The sequence below is a fragment of the Homo sapiens genome, chromosome 6 (genome assembly GCF_000001405.40).
Source record: "Homo sapiens chromosome 6, GRCh38.p14 Primary Assembly".
NCBI classification, from domain to species: Eukaryota; Metazoa; Chordata; class Mammalia; order Primates; family Hominidae; genus Homo; species Homo sapiens.
Window position 1 is genome coordinate 42138266 of NC_000006.12, and position 13922 is coordinate 42152187.

The 13922-nt window shown below is 51.2% G+C and overlaps 1 protein-coding gene across 1 annotated transcript in view, besides 1 other annotated feature; it reads right to left on the reverse strand.

Annotated features, from left to right (window-relative positions):
- The window catches only part of C6orf132 (chromosome 6 open reading frame 132), a 41502-nt gene extending 37147 nt beyond the window's left edge, over positions 1 to 4355 (reverse strand). Inside the window, exon 1 of the mRNA NM_001164446.3 lies at positions 4035 to 4355. Within this exon, the coding sequence (NP_001157918.1) occupies positions 4035 to 4179 (145 nt within the window). The 5' untranslated portion in view covers positions 4180 to 4355. The remainder of the gene's footprint in view (positions 1 to 4034) is intronic.
- Positions 2930 to 3609: an enhancer, noted in NCBI's record as "H3K27ac-H3K4me1 hESC enhancer chr6:42108933-42109612 (GRCh37/hg19 assembly coordinates)". NCBI's record gives its function as "activates a minimal SCP1, AML or CMV promoter by ChIP-STARR-seq in primed H9 embryonic stem cells {active_cell/tissue: H9 hESC(primed)}" and the evidence as "EXISTENCE:reporter gene assay evidence [ECO:0000049][PMID:30033119]".

Below are 13922 nucleotides of genomic sequence, written 5' to 3' on the forward strand. Positions count from 1 at the left end.
CTTCCCAAAGTGCTGGGGTTGTTTTTGTTTTTGTTTTTTGTTTTGAAACAGGGTCTCGCTCTGCCACCAAGGCTGGAGTGCAGTGGCGCAATCTTGGCTTTCTGCAACCTCTGCCTCCTGAACTCGAGCAGTCCTCCCGCCTCAGCCTCCTGAGTAGCTGCAGCTACAGGTGCATGCCACCAAGCCTGGCAAATTTTTGTATTTTTAGTAGAGACAACAGGATCTTGCCATGTTGCCCAGGCTGCCCTCAAACTCCCATGATCCACCTGCCTCAGTCTCCCAAAGCACTGGGATTACAGGCGTGAGCCACCGCCCAGCCCAGAATCTGCATTTCAAATAAATGTCTGAGGTAGCTGTGAGCTGTCCCATTTAGAGGAACGGGGTAGGAAAGAGAGTCCTCTAGCAAACAAGGGTGTCCCATTGCTGGTGGCGGGTGCAGCGGTGGTAGATAAAGAATCTTGGCTCAGTTAATCCAAGATGCAAGGGAGGAGTCCTGAGTGACTGGCAGCTTTGTCTCCAGTAACAGCCCAGTCCTTTATCTTGGGATTTGCGAAGATCCACATCTCTGCTTTCTCATGCATTTAAACACACACACACACACACACACACACACACACTCGTGTGGCCTTGCTTGGGCTGGGAGAGGGCAGAAGACTTTGTTAGGATTGCAAATGCATTCAGTGAAGCCCTCCTAATTGCTGGAATACATATTAGAGAAATTCTGTAAAGAAAATTTTTTTGCTCATCACCACTCTCACATGACTGTTTGCATTTACCCGCTGTACCCAGCCTACCCTTGTGCAAACAGATTTTTACATGGCTGCAACCACAGAGCAAACAGTTGATTACTCCTTAATTCCCTTACACATCCCTACATTGATTTTCCTCCCTTCCATTCCACCGCCTGTTCTCTAAGGGCTGGATATCGCCAGCATCTCACCCCAGGCTTGAGGGGAATGTCACAGACTCAGGGGCCCTATGGAACTCTAATCCCACTCTCTCTGAGACTTTGAAATAGTCTTTTCATGGCTCAGTTTCCTCTATTCTACAGCAGTGTTAGGAAGAGGAGCTGAAGCAGGCAAGGGCAGGAAGTGCTCCATGCTGGGAACGATCCAATAATAAATCATGCCTTAGAGGAGGGGCCAGTAAACTTTTTCTGTACAGGGCCAGATAGTAAATATGTTAGCCTTTGCAGGCCATAAGGTCTCTTTTGTAGCTACTCAACTCTAGCCATAGACCATATGTAAATGAGGGGCATAGTTGGTTATGTTCTAATAAAACTTTATTCCTCAAAGCAGGCCATGGGCCAGAATGGAGCCAGGACTGTAGTTTGCCAATCCTTGCTTTAGAGCAAGCTTGTCCAACCCATGGCCCAACACAAATTAGTGAACTTTCTTAAAATATTATGAGGGGTTTTTTTTTGCGTTTTTTTGTTTTGTTTTTTAGCTCATCAGCTATTGTTAGTGTCAGTGTATTTTATGTGTGGCCCAAGACAATTCTTCTTCCAATGTGACCCAGGGAAGCCAAAAGATTGGACACCCTGTTTAGAGCTTTTTGTTTTAATGCTCTTCAAAGCACTACCATAAATACCGCTTCAGGCAGTTACCCTGCAGGCAGCCTGGACACTATCCCCTTTAACAGAAGAAAAAATTGAGGCCCAGAGAGTGCTTAGCCCTATGTATTGACAGAGACAGGATGCCAAGGCAGGGCTGCACCTGCATCCCATCACAGAATCCCCAACACTGGTCCCTCCTCTCCCTAACTCCAAGCAGAGCAGGGAGGACTTCTGCCACGCCCAGTGGCACCCCAGGGAACACCCCGGAAACACTGAGGCGCTGTTCTGCTGGGTGCATGATGTTTTCCATGGCTCCTTGTGCAGGCAAGACCAAGCTGAGTCAGCTGGAGGCCCAGCCCTGCCTTGAGGAACGGGAGGAGCTGTCCTTTGGACTCCAGCTCTGCCCAGGCTGATGAGGGCAGCAGCTGGCTGGAGATGACAGGGCACCAGGCCCTCTTCCCTCACCAGAGGTGCTGATGCCCACTAGCAGCCTGCACAGCCTAGGCAAAATGCAGAAGTGGCTGAGAGGCGTGGCTGAGAGGCATGGCTGAGGTCTCCCCTTGAGGGAGGAAGGGTGTGTGTGTGTGTATGTGTGTGGTATTTTCCAGGCAGATGCCCCTCAAGTAAACTTGGATCGCCTTCCTCTGCAGAGTTAATTCAGCAAACCCGCTAAGAGTGTGATCTCTGGAGCCTGACTGCCTGGATTCAAATACTAGTTCTGCCTCACAAGGGAGATTTTGGAGGTCATCGAAATGTTCTAAAACCAGATGGTGGTGATAATGGCACAACTCTGTGTAAATGGTCTACTAAAAATCATTGAATTGTGGACTTAGAAAAATGCTGCCTCCAGCATTGAAAGCTGTATGATCTTGGGCATATTACTTAACCTCCCTGTGCCTCAGTCTCCTCATCTGTCAAACAGGAATGACAATAATAGTGCCTGACTCTAGATGAGATTTCAATGAATCAGTAACACAAAGATTTTAGAATGGCATCTTGCACCTAAGAAGGGATTAATAAATGGTCTTTCCATGGTGCCTCCGTTGAGAGGGAAAGAAGTGTCCTGGCTCACAGGCACTTGCCTGCACACCTGTGTCTGGGAGTGCCTACACCATGCCTCCACTTGCCCTGCTCCTCCTGGTCTTTGCTTCTACTGTTTGTTTTGCCAGGAATGCCCTCTCCTGTCAGCTCGAATGCTAGTTCCACTCAGAGGTCATCTCTCTTCTTTGCTTTTATGCTTAATAATCATTTACAGCAAAGGCTCAGAAAGGGCTAAATGGCATATGGTTAGTTCTGTTCACCCCCTGATCTGATATCTTTGTGCCAGGAAGAGGCGACACTTTGTCCGTCCTGCTCCTATCCATGGTGCCTTGTGTCCTGGCTGTGGCAACCTGCATGCTGAACTGAGTCCAACAGCAGGCACCAAGGCTATGACATCCACTGTGGGTCCCAGCACAGTGGCTATAAAGATCAGTGAAGATAATATGGTGAGAATGAAGGCAGGCAAGCTAAAGCAGTGATGGGTGACCTTCCTTGGGCCCAGAAGCCCCCTGCCCCCCCAACCTGGGCGTTCCAGAGCCACATGTCATACACAAGAAATGGATTTCTGTCTCCAGCCGCTGGCTTCCCCTAGTTATAGAGAATACAAATTGCAAAACGATGCAATGATAAGATGACCCACAGCCAGAGCCTGGGGATGAGCCAAGGCGGTGCTTTTAGAGGCCTGCAGAGACACACCAGTCTGATTCCAGGGTCAGCGGCAGCTGGCAGTCAGGGAGAGGGTTCCTTGGCCTCCACTGTCCCATTTCTGGCTCCTCGGTCTTAGCCCAGAGACAGCCCAGGTCCCAGGTTGAACTGGCAGGAGCCTGTGGCCCCAATAAGTGACTTGGTGTCACAAACAGGCTGGTAACCTGGTAGCAGCTGCGCCTGTTGTTTTTTCCTGGGCCTCACCTAGCCAGAGCCAAGTTTGTGAGCACCCAGATAGCAGGCCCCTCTCTGCCACGTGGGCTTGGGAAACAGGGAGTGCAAAGGGTGAGGGAGGAGTTCTTAGCCCCTTAGCCCCCAGTTCTTCAGGAACACTTTTGCTTCAGCCAGAATGGGGGTGTAGCGGTGGGGGTCGGGGGAGATATCGCAAACCTCCGGAAGCCTTTCCGCTAACAGTAACACAAGCATAGGATTCGCCAAGAGGGGGAATTAAACACCTCCGAATAAGGCCTGGGGTCAGAGGTGGGGGCGGCAAAGTTCTCCCACCTCCCCGTGGTGGTGGGGGGGGTCCCCTCGTTCCCCACACCTCTCTCACCGCACAGCCCTTCCCAGACACCCCTGTGCGGTGCCTCCTCCCCTGCCCGGCGGCTGCTCTCGGCCAGTCCGCAGGTTCCAACGTGTCCCTCCCCTCCGCGCCTCCAGGAGACAGCACCGCCGGCCCTGCCCCAGCGCCCTCCGTCCCCGCCCCAGCGCCCTCCGTCCCCGGAGTACTCACCGAAGCCCCCGGTCCCCTCCTCCGGGGCCTCCTGGGTGAAGATCCAGGGCGGATTGGTGGCGTAGAGGGAGGTGCTGGGGGTCGTGGTGTGCTTCTTCCCGAAGAGTTTGCTGAAGGTGCCCTGCACCGTCTGCTTCTTTTTCATGCTGCCGCAGCCCGCGCGGGCGCCAGGGAAGGACCTTCCCTCCCTCGCCCTGCCCTGCCCCGGACTGAACTCAGCACGGTCTCCCCAGGGGACTCTACCAGGCCATGTCCCCCGCCGTCCTCCCCGCCCGCGCACCGGGCAACAGGTGCTGCGGGCGCCGCCGCTTGCCGGGAAATGCGAGCTACCTGGCCAGGTAAAAGGCAGCCGCTTGGCCGGGCCCCGCCCCGCCGCCGCCCAGCTCCCCAGGCCGCATTCCTTCCCGCCTCCTTCTACAACAGGCCATTGTTGGCACGGCCCGGTGGGCTGGGGACCTCGCCCGGCCCACGCCCAGCCTGGGAGACGGGCCACCCCCTCCCCCAGGTTCCTCCCTGCACGCCTCCTTCACCCCACTTCCCCCTAGTCCGGGAAAGGAGGCGGGTGAGTTTCCAGCCTCTCAAGGCGATTCGTGACCAGGTCAGTATGGGTACATCGGGGACAGCTCTAGTGTCCAACACGAGGGACATGGATGGCCAAAGCGAGCACGCCACGGCATCCTATAGCCCCTCAAATATGTGGGGCGTGAGGCTTCGGGGAACATCAGGAAGTGCCTGTAAGAGAAAAGTAAGCTGGGAAAAGCAAGAAAATGACAAACTAGTATACCAATCTGATGACGAGGGTGGAAAAACATCCTCATTGACAGGGCTCCGAAGAGAATGTGGGATGACGAAATCTTGGCATTCTGTGTCTGTACATCACATTGTTTTTCTTTTTCTTTTCTTTTCTTTTCTTTTTTTTTTCCTTTGGACGGAGTCTCGCTCTGTTGCCCAGGCTGGAGTGCAGTGGCGCCATCTCGGCTCACCGAAACCTCCCGGTCTCGGATTCAAGCGATTCTCCTGCCTCAGCCTCCCGAGTAGCTGGGATTACAGGCACGCACCACCACGCCCGGCTAATTTTTGTATTTTTAGTAGAGACAGGTTTTCACCATGTTAGCCAGGCTGGTCTGGAACTCCTGACCTCGTGATCTGCCGGCTTCGGCCTCCCAAAGTGCTGGGATTACAGGCGTCGGCCACCGCGCCTGGCCCACATTCTTTTTTTTCTGTGAAGTTAAGTGAATATAATTTTTGAAAACCTAAAGTGGGTAGAGCCCACTTAGGGTTGGGTTCACTCTCCAGGGAGACAAACAGTGGTACTTTAAGGCACTTAGGGTAACATCCTAGCCAAGCCAGGGGTGGCTATCCACGGGGGAAATTTCCTCCGATGAGGAGGGGGAGAGCCTGCGTGAAGATGCTGAGAGCAGAGGTGCAGGCCAAGTGGGTGGAGTTTGATGTTTTCTGGGCAGCAGGGGGCATAGGCTGGTGCAAGTTGCCATTTCTGCTGAGCTTCCGGGGGACAGGGCCCACTGCCACATTTCCCCTCAGTTTCCCCCAGATCTTACACCAAAGGCGTTTTCCCTCAACTTTTCACTCTGAAACATTTCAAACCTTCAGAGAACTTACAAGAATTGTACAATGACCACCTGTGTACCCTTCTCCCTGGATTCACCAATTGTTAACTCATTGCTAAATTCATCCCTCTCTCTCTCTGTCTCTCTCTCTCCCGGATTCTTTTCCTTTTCATTTTGCTGAAGCTTGGAAGTTGTAGATACCGTGGCCCATTTCTTAGCCTCCCCCAGTACTTCAGCATCGATGTCTAAGAGTAGGAACATTCTCCTACATGGCCACAATACAACTGTCACACTCAGGAGATCTAACATTGCCAGGCACGGTGGCTCACGCCTGTAATCCTAGCACGTTGGGAGGCCAAGGCAGGTGGATCACTTGAGGTCAAGAGTTTGAGACCAGCCTGGCCAACATGGTGAAACTCCGTCTCTACCAAAAATATTTAAAAAATCAGCTGGGCGTGGAAGTGTGTGCCTGTAATCCCAGCTACTAGGGAGGCTGAGGCAGAAGAATCACTTGAACCCGGGAGGCAGAGGTTGCAGTGAACCAAGATCATGCCATTGCACTCCAGCCTGGGCAACAAGAGTGAAACTCCGTCTCAAAAAAATTAAAAAACAGGCCAGGTGCGGTGGCTCACGCCTGTAATCCCAGCACTTTGGGAGGCCGAGGCAGGTGGATCATGAGGTCAGGAGATCGAGACCATCCTGGCTAACACGGTGAAACCCCGTCTCTACTAAAAATACAAAAAAAAAATTAGCCAGGCGTGGTGGCGGGCACCTGCAGTCCCAGCTACTCAGGAGGCTGAGGCAGGAGAATGGTGTGAACCTGGGAGGCGGAGCTTGCAGTGAGCCGAGATCGTGCCACTACACTCCAGCCTGGGCGACAGAGCAAGACTCCGTCTCAAAAAAATAAAAAAAAAAAAAATAAATAATAATAAAAAAAACAAACAAACAAAAAAAGAATTTCACAATTATCCCCTCAAATGTCATTTTAGTTTTTTTGTTCCTTTTTTTTTTTTTTTCGAGACAGAGTCTTGCTCTGTCGCCGAGGCTGGAGTGCTGTGATGCAATCTTGGCTCACTGCCACCTCCGCCTCCCGGGCTCTAACGATTCTCCTGCCTCAGCCTCCCAAGTAGCTGGGACTACAGGTACCCGCCACAATGCCCAGCTAATTTTCATATTTTTAGTAGAGATGGGGTTTCACCATGTTGGCCAGGCTGGTCTCAAACTCCTGACCTCAAGTGATCCACCCACCTCAGCCTCCCAAAATGCTGGAATTATAGGCGTGAGCCACCTTGCCAGCCAAGTGGCTCCATTTGTTTGCAACTTCTACTATATAACTATTATTATTATTATATGTATATTTTTTAGATGGAGTCTTTCTCTGTCACCCAGGCTGGAGTGCAGTGGCGCAATCTCGGCTCACTGCAACCTCCACTTCCCAGATTCAAGTGATTCTTCTGTCTAAGCCTCCCGAGTAGCTGGGATTACAGGTGCCCACCACCATGCCCGGCTAATTTTTGTATTTTTAGTAGAGATGGGGTTTTACCATGTTGGTCATTCTGGTCTTGAACTCCGGACCTCAGGTGATCCACCGGCCTTGGCTTCCCAAAGTGCTGGGATTACAGGCATGAGCCACCGCACCCGGCCTGTAACTAATATTCTTGAGAGCCACTGTGTGCCACACGCTGGGCTGTGAAAGAGCCAGAAAAATTAAAGACATGGTTCTTGAGTCCAGGTTGTTATATAGTCTGTGGAGACAGGCAGTGACCTGTGGAGAGCTGGGCAGTGGGGAGGTAACTGAAAGGAAGGAAATGAAGGGGGGAAAGTGCAGAGCAATTTGGGGGCTGCAGGATCTGGGGAGGGTAGGCAGGAGACCTCTTCAGGGGCTGAGGATGGGGGAGCTCGGAATTATCCAGTGTGTGGGAGGTCACGGCAAGGTTGGCCAAGGTGTGGAAGGCTTAAAAAGGCCACCTGGGTGGCCGGGCGCGGTGGCTCACGCCTATAATGCCAGCACTTTGGGAGGCCGAGGTGGGCAGATCATGAGGTCAGGAGTTCGAGACCAGCCTGGCAAACATGGTGAAACCCTGTCTCTACTAAAAATACAAAAATTAGCCGGGTATGGTGGCAGGCGCCTGTAATCCCAGCTACTCGGGATGCTGAGGCAGGAGAATCGCTTGAACCCGGGAGGTAGAAGTTGCAGTGAGCCGAGATCACGCCATTGCACTCCAGCCTGGAGGACAAGAGTGAGACTTTGTCTCAAAAAAAAAAAAAAAAAAGAAAGAAAGAAAGAAAAAGCCAGCTGGGGCTGGGTGCGGTGGCTCACACCTGTAATCCCAGCACTTTGGGAGGTTGAGGCGGGTGGATAACGAGGCCAAGAGATCGAGACCATCCTGACCATCCTGGCCAACATGGTAAAACCCTGTCTCTACTAAAATTACAAAAAGCTGGGCATGGTAGCGTGTGCCTGTAGTCCTAGCTACTTGGGAGGCTGAGGCAGGAGGATTGCTTGAACCTGGGAAGTGGAGGTTTTGCAGTGAGCCGAGATCACACCACTGCACTCCAGCCTGGCGACAGAGCGAGACTCCGTCCAAAAAAAAAAAAAAAGAAAGAAAGAAAGAAAAAAAAAAAAAGGCTAGCTGGAAAAATGGGAATCAACTAAATGTCCACCAAGAGGTGAATTGTTAAATTTAAATAAACTATAGCCGGCTGGGTGCCACAGTGCATGCCTGTCATCCCAGTGCTTTGGGAGCTGAGGTGGGCTAATCACTTTAGGCCAGGAGTTCGAGACCAGCCTGGCCAACGTGGCAAAATCCCATCTCTACCAAAAATAAAAAAAAAATTAGTCGGGTGTGATAGTGCATGCCTGTGGTCCCAGCTACTTGGGAGGTTAAGGTGGGAGAATCGCTTGAGCCCAGGAGGCAGAGGTTGCAGTGAGCCTAGATCACGCCACTGCCCTCCAGCCTGGGTGAGAATGAAACCCTGTCTCAAAAATAAATAAATAAACAAACCATGGCACATCCTATCCACACAATGGAATAAAAAGGCAACCCTGGCCAGGCGTGGTGGCTCATGCCTGTAATCCTAGCACTTTGAGAGGCTGAGGCAGGTGGATTGCCTGAGCTCAGGAGTTCGAGACCAGCCTGGGCAATACGGTGAAACACCGTCTCTACTAAAATACAAAAAATTAGCCAGGCGTGGTGGCGTGTGCCTGTAGTCCCAGCTACTCAGGAGGCTGAGGCAGAAGAATTACTTAAACCTGGGAGGCGGAGGTTGCACACTGAGCTGAGATCACACCACTTCATTCCAGGCTGGGCGACACAGCGAGACTCCGTTTCAAAAAAAAAAATTATCATAATGCAACCCTAAATACAAGTGAGTCAGCTAGCTGCTAGCTGTGTCCAGTTATCTCTAAGATAACCTGATAAACTTAGCCAAATGGTAAGTGATCCGCCCGTCTCAACCTCCCAAAGTGCGAGATTGCAGGTGTGAGCCACTGCGCCAAACGGTATAGTGTGCTACCATTTGTCAAGGGCAGGAGGTAGGGCAGAGTAAACATGATCTTATTTGTTTCTTTTGGCACAGAGAAACCTCAGAAAGTTACATAAAAAAACTAATAAAAGTAGTGGCTGGGCGTGGTGGGTCATCCCTGTAATCCCAGCACTTTGGGATGCTGAGGAGGGTGGATCGCCTGGGGTTAGGAGTTCCAGACCAGCCTGGCCAACATAGTGAAACCCCGTCTCTACCAAAAATACAAAAAATTAGCTGGGTGTGGTGACGGGCGCCTGTAATCCCAGCTACTGGGGAGGCTGAGGCAGGAGAATCTCTTGAACCCAGGAGGGTAAGGTTGCAGTGAGCCGGGATCACACCACTGCACTCTAGCCTGGGTGAGAGTGAGACTCCATCTCAAAAAAAAAAAAAAAAAAAAGAAAGAAAGAAAAAAAAAAAAAAAGGCCGAGCACGGTGGCTCACGCCTGTAATCCCAGCACTTTGGAAGGCTGAGGCAGGCAGATCACCTGAGGTGAGGTCAGGAGTTTGAGACCAGCCTGACCAACATGGAGAAACCCCGTCTCTACTAAAAATACAAAATTAGCTGGGTGTGATGGTGGGTGCCTGTAATCCCAGCTACTTGAGAGGCTGAGGTGGGAGACTAGCTTGAACCCAGGAGGCAGAGGTTGCGGTGAGCTGAGATCGCACCATTGCACTCTAGCCTGGGCAACAAGAGGAAACTCTGTCTCAAAAAAAAAGAAAAAAGAAAAGAAAAGGCTTGGCATATACGGGGAGAGCTTCTGAGTCAGCTTCTTTATCTGCAGCATGAGAGCAATAACACTGTCCCCTCTTGGGCTTGTTCATAGGGGTGGGAGGAGGAGTCTTTAGAAGGTCTAGGTTCAGCAGTGAGCAGTCCCACCAAACCTGCCAGTTTCATCTCATCAGCCTGGCAGCTTTTGACGCTGAGCTCCCTGAGGCAGGGGCAGGGCCTCATCCTCTGTCCAGCTCAGCACTCTGTACTGTTGATACTCAGCCTCCACTCCGTCATCTAATAACCACACCTCACACCTGTCCCCCAGGAACAGAAGCAGCCAAATAACAGGCTCCCCTCAAAACAGACAAAAGTCCAATCCTATCATTACATTTCTGCTCAGCGATTACTCAGTAACCTCCTGAGAGCCAACTTTCCTGGGCAGTTCTGGAATGCAGGGTGGGATTGGGGGCCCACAGCTGCAGTCTCCCCAGAGACCCAATCAGGTCTTTGTCAAGTCTGTTGTCTTTTCTTTTTTTTTGAGACAGAGTTTCGCTCTTGTTGCCCAGGCTGGAGTGCAATGGCGCGATCTCGGCTCACCACAACTTCTGCCTCCTGGGTGCAAGTGATCCTCCTGCCCCAGCCTCCCTAGTAGCTAGGATTACAGGCATGTGCCACCATGCCCAGCTAATTTTGTATTTTTAGTAGAGATGGGGTTTCTCCATTTTGGTCAGGCTGGTCTCAAACTCCCAACCTCAGGTGATCTGCCCGCCTTGGCCTCCCAAAGTGTTGGGTTTACAGATATGAGCCACCCTACCTGGCCAAGTCTGTGGCCTTTCCTCCCACACCACCAAGGGGTCCAGGCTGGGGGAGTGTACTCTTGAGTAAGGGAAGGACAGGCCAAAACGTCCAGAGAGTCAACCTAGTCCCCACCCTGGGTCTCTGCAGCTAGCTCTTCAGAAACTCAATCAGAATTCTCAAATCCCAGATAATGAGGGGATGCAGATCATCCTGCCGGGCCTTTTGTTTCCGGGCAGAAGACATCTTATCGCAGATCAGCTCCTGAGGCTGTTTCTTTAGGCCTTCACAGTAGGGTGGGCTTCAATCCCGGCTACCTCTGTTTTCCTCTGGGCTGGCTGCATTCAAGGAGAGGGGCTCAGGCTGAGGGGCTCTGGACGGCTAGACTCCTACACATCCCGAGATGGGGCTTGGAGATTCTCGCGTAGCTGGCGCCTGAGGTGTAGGGATCTGAGGTCTGCCCTGTTTGTTCGGGGAGTGCTGGGAAGGCACTCATTTTCCTTTTCATCCATGGGCTGTTTGGTGGGATTATGATACTGTGGGGAAGATCCTTGACTGCAGACTAGGTCTGAATCCTGGCTCTGCTACTTCTCAAGGGAGTGAACTTGCAGAGTTACCACCTCTCTTGAGTCTCAGTTGGTTCATCTGTAAAAGACATGGTTGTTATGAGATTCAATGAAAGAGTGGGTTAAGGTGCTCAGCAGAGGGTCCAGCTCATGGTAGATACTCAGTACCTGTGTGCTCTGTCCCCCTACCTTGTAGGTAGCCAAAGCTCCCTACCCTGCTTTGGGCATGGAGATGCTAAACAGAGAACAGCAAAAACACAACAGAGACCATGAGAGGCTGCAGAAGAGCCATGTCAATTCAACAAAGAAACTCAAGAAGGAAAATTCCACTGAGATCCGGGAGACAGGGTGGGGCAGGTGTCTACAAGGTCACCTTGCAGGCCAGGTAAAAACATCCCGTGGTAAAACACATCCCACAATCTGAAACAATGTGTGTGTGCACAAGGGCATGTGTCTACATTTTAAAAAATGGATTGGCCGGGTGCAGTGGCTCATGTCTCCCAACACTTTCGGAGGCCGAGGTGGGCGGATCATGAGGTCAGGAGATCGAGACCATCCTGGCTAACATGGTGAAACCCTGTCTCTACTGAAAATACAAAAAATTAGCCAGGCGTGGTGGCGGGCGCCTGCAGTCCCAGCTACTCGGGAGGCTGAGGCAGGAGAATGGTGTGAACCCAGGAGGCGGAGCTTGCAGTGAGCCGAGATTGGGCCACTGCACTCCAGCCTGGTGACACAGCAACACTCTGTCTCAAAAAATAAAAAATAAAAAATAAAAAATGGATTAAGTACAAAAAGCAAAAATAAAATAAAATTAAAATTATTTGTAGATTATAACCATAAATATATATTTGTGAATGGCCAGGGATTGGAAGGGAACAAAACTGTGAAGATGGTCCAGCTAGAATGTCAGGATTACATATGGATTTTTGGGTTTTTTTCGTTTATTTGTTTTTTTGAGACAGAATCTCGCTCTGTCGCCCGTGCTGGAGTGCAGTGATGCAATCTCGGCTCACTGCAACCTCCGCCTCTTGTGTTCAAGCAATTCCCTTGCCTCAGTCTCCCAAGTAGCTGGGACTCCAGGTGCGTGCCACCACACCTAGCTAATTTTTGTATTTTTTAGCAGAGATGAGGTTTCGCCATGTTACCCAGGCTGGTCTTGAACTGGCCTCAAGTGATCCTCCCACCTCAGCCTCCCAAAATGCTGGGATTACAGGCTTGATCCACTGTGCCCGGCCACATATGAGTTTTTAAAAGCTTTTTAGTGATGTGCCCTGTTGCTCTATCATTTGTTTTAAGTTAAAAACTCAACAAATAAAAATAACATAATTTAATATGGAATGGATTTTTGTTTGTTTGTCTGTTTGTTTTTGAGACAGAGTCTCACTCTGTCACCCAGGCTGGAGTGCAGTGGCGCAATCTTGGCTCACTGCAACCTCCGCCTCCTGGGTTCAGGCAATTCTCGTGCTTCAGCCTCCCGAGTAGCTGGGATTACAGGCACCCACATCATGCCTGGCTAATTTTTATATTTTTAGTAGAGATGGGGTTTCACCATGTTGGCCAGGCTGGTCTCAAACTCCTGACCTCAGGTGATCCACCCGGCTCGGCCTCCCAAAGTGCTGGGATTACAGGCGTGAGCCACGGTGCCCGGCCCATTTTGTTTTTTTAAAAAGCCCTAGAGCAGGGGGCAGGAGGGCCTGGAGATGTGGATTCTAGTGCCACCTCTGCCACTAACCTCCTGTGAGACCATGAGCCTTCCTGTGCCTCAGTTTCTCCATCTGTAAAATGGGATGGTGGGATCTAATACTCAGGTGTGGTTTCACATCTGTTTAAAATGCTTGTTGGCTGACAGGGCAGAGGAAGAACAGCAAATGAGGCTGTCTTTTCCCTCCTGTGTGAGGAGGCTACTTCCAGCTCCGAGGAAAGAGGGGTCAGAAATGGGAGAAATGTTTCAAGGGAGGGTGGCGAGCCTGTCTTGGGCACAGCATCTCCTCTGTGTCAGGCTCTGTGCTCAGGCTGTGGGAGGTCCTACCATTCAGCTATGTAGAGCCTCAGGGAATCACACAGCCCCACACCTGTCTCACATGTTCTGGAGACCAAAGTTTGAACTGGGATTTAAGGCCTGGGTAAATTCAGAGCTCAAAGTTCCAATTCAAGATATGGGACACTGGCCGGGCGCAGTGGCTCAGGCCAGGTGCGGTGGCTCATGCTTGTAATCGCAGAACTTTGGTAGGCCAAGGCAGGCGGATCACAAGGTCAGGAGTTTGAGACCATCCTGGCCAACACAGTGAAACCATGTCTCTACTAACAATACAAATATTAGCTGGGCGTGGTGGTGCATGCCAGTAATCCCAGCTACTCAGGATGTTGAGGCAGGAGAATCGCTTGAATTCGGGAGATGGAGGTTGCGGTGAGCCAAGATTGCGCCACTGCACTCCAGCCTGGGCGACAGAGCAAGACCTCATCTCAAAAAAAAAAAAGAAAAAAAAAAAGATATGGAGGTCAGCTTGCCCGAGAAGCAGCTTGTCTCCCTCTCTCTCTGGTACCTGGAGGGACCAGCAGCTACACCTGTCATTGTGTCATTGGCTGGGCTTCTCCTCTGCGTCAGTCACAGAGCCCACTACAGCCATATGAGCCCTGTGAGGGAGAGGCCCATATGTTCATTTTATGGATGGAGAAAAGAAGACTTCAAATGATGCTTACTCAGACTCCATGACCAATCAAT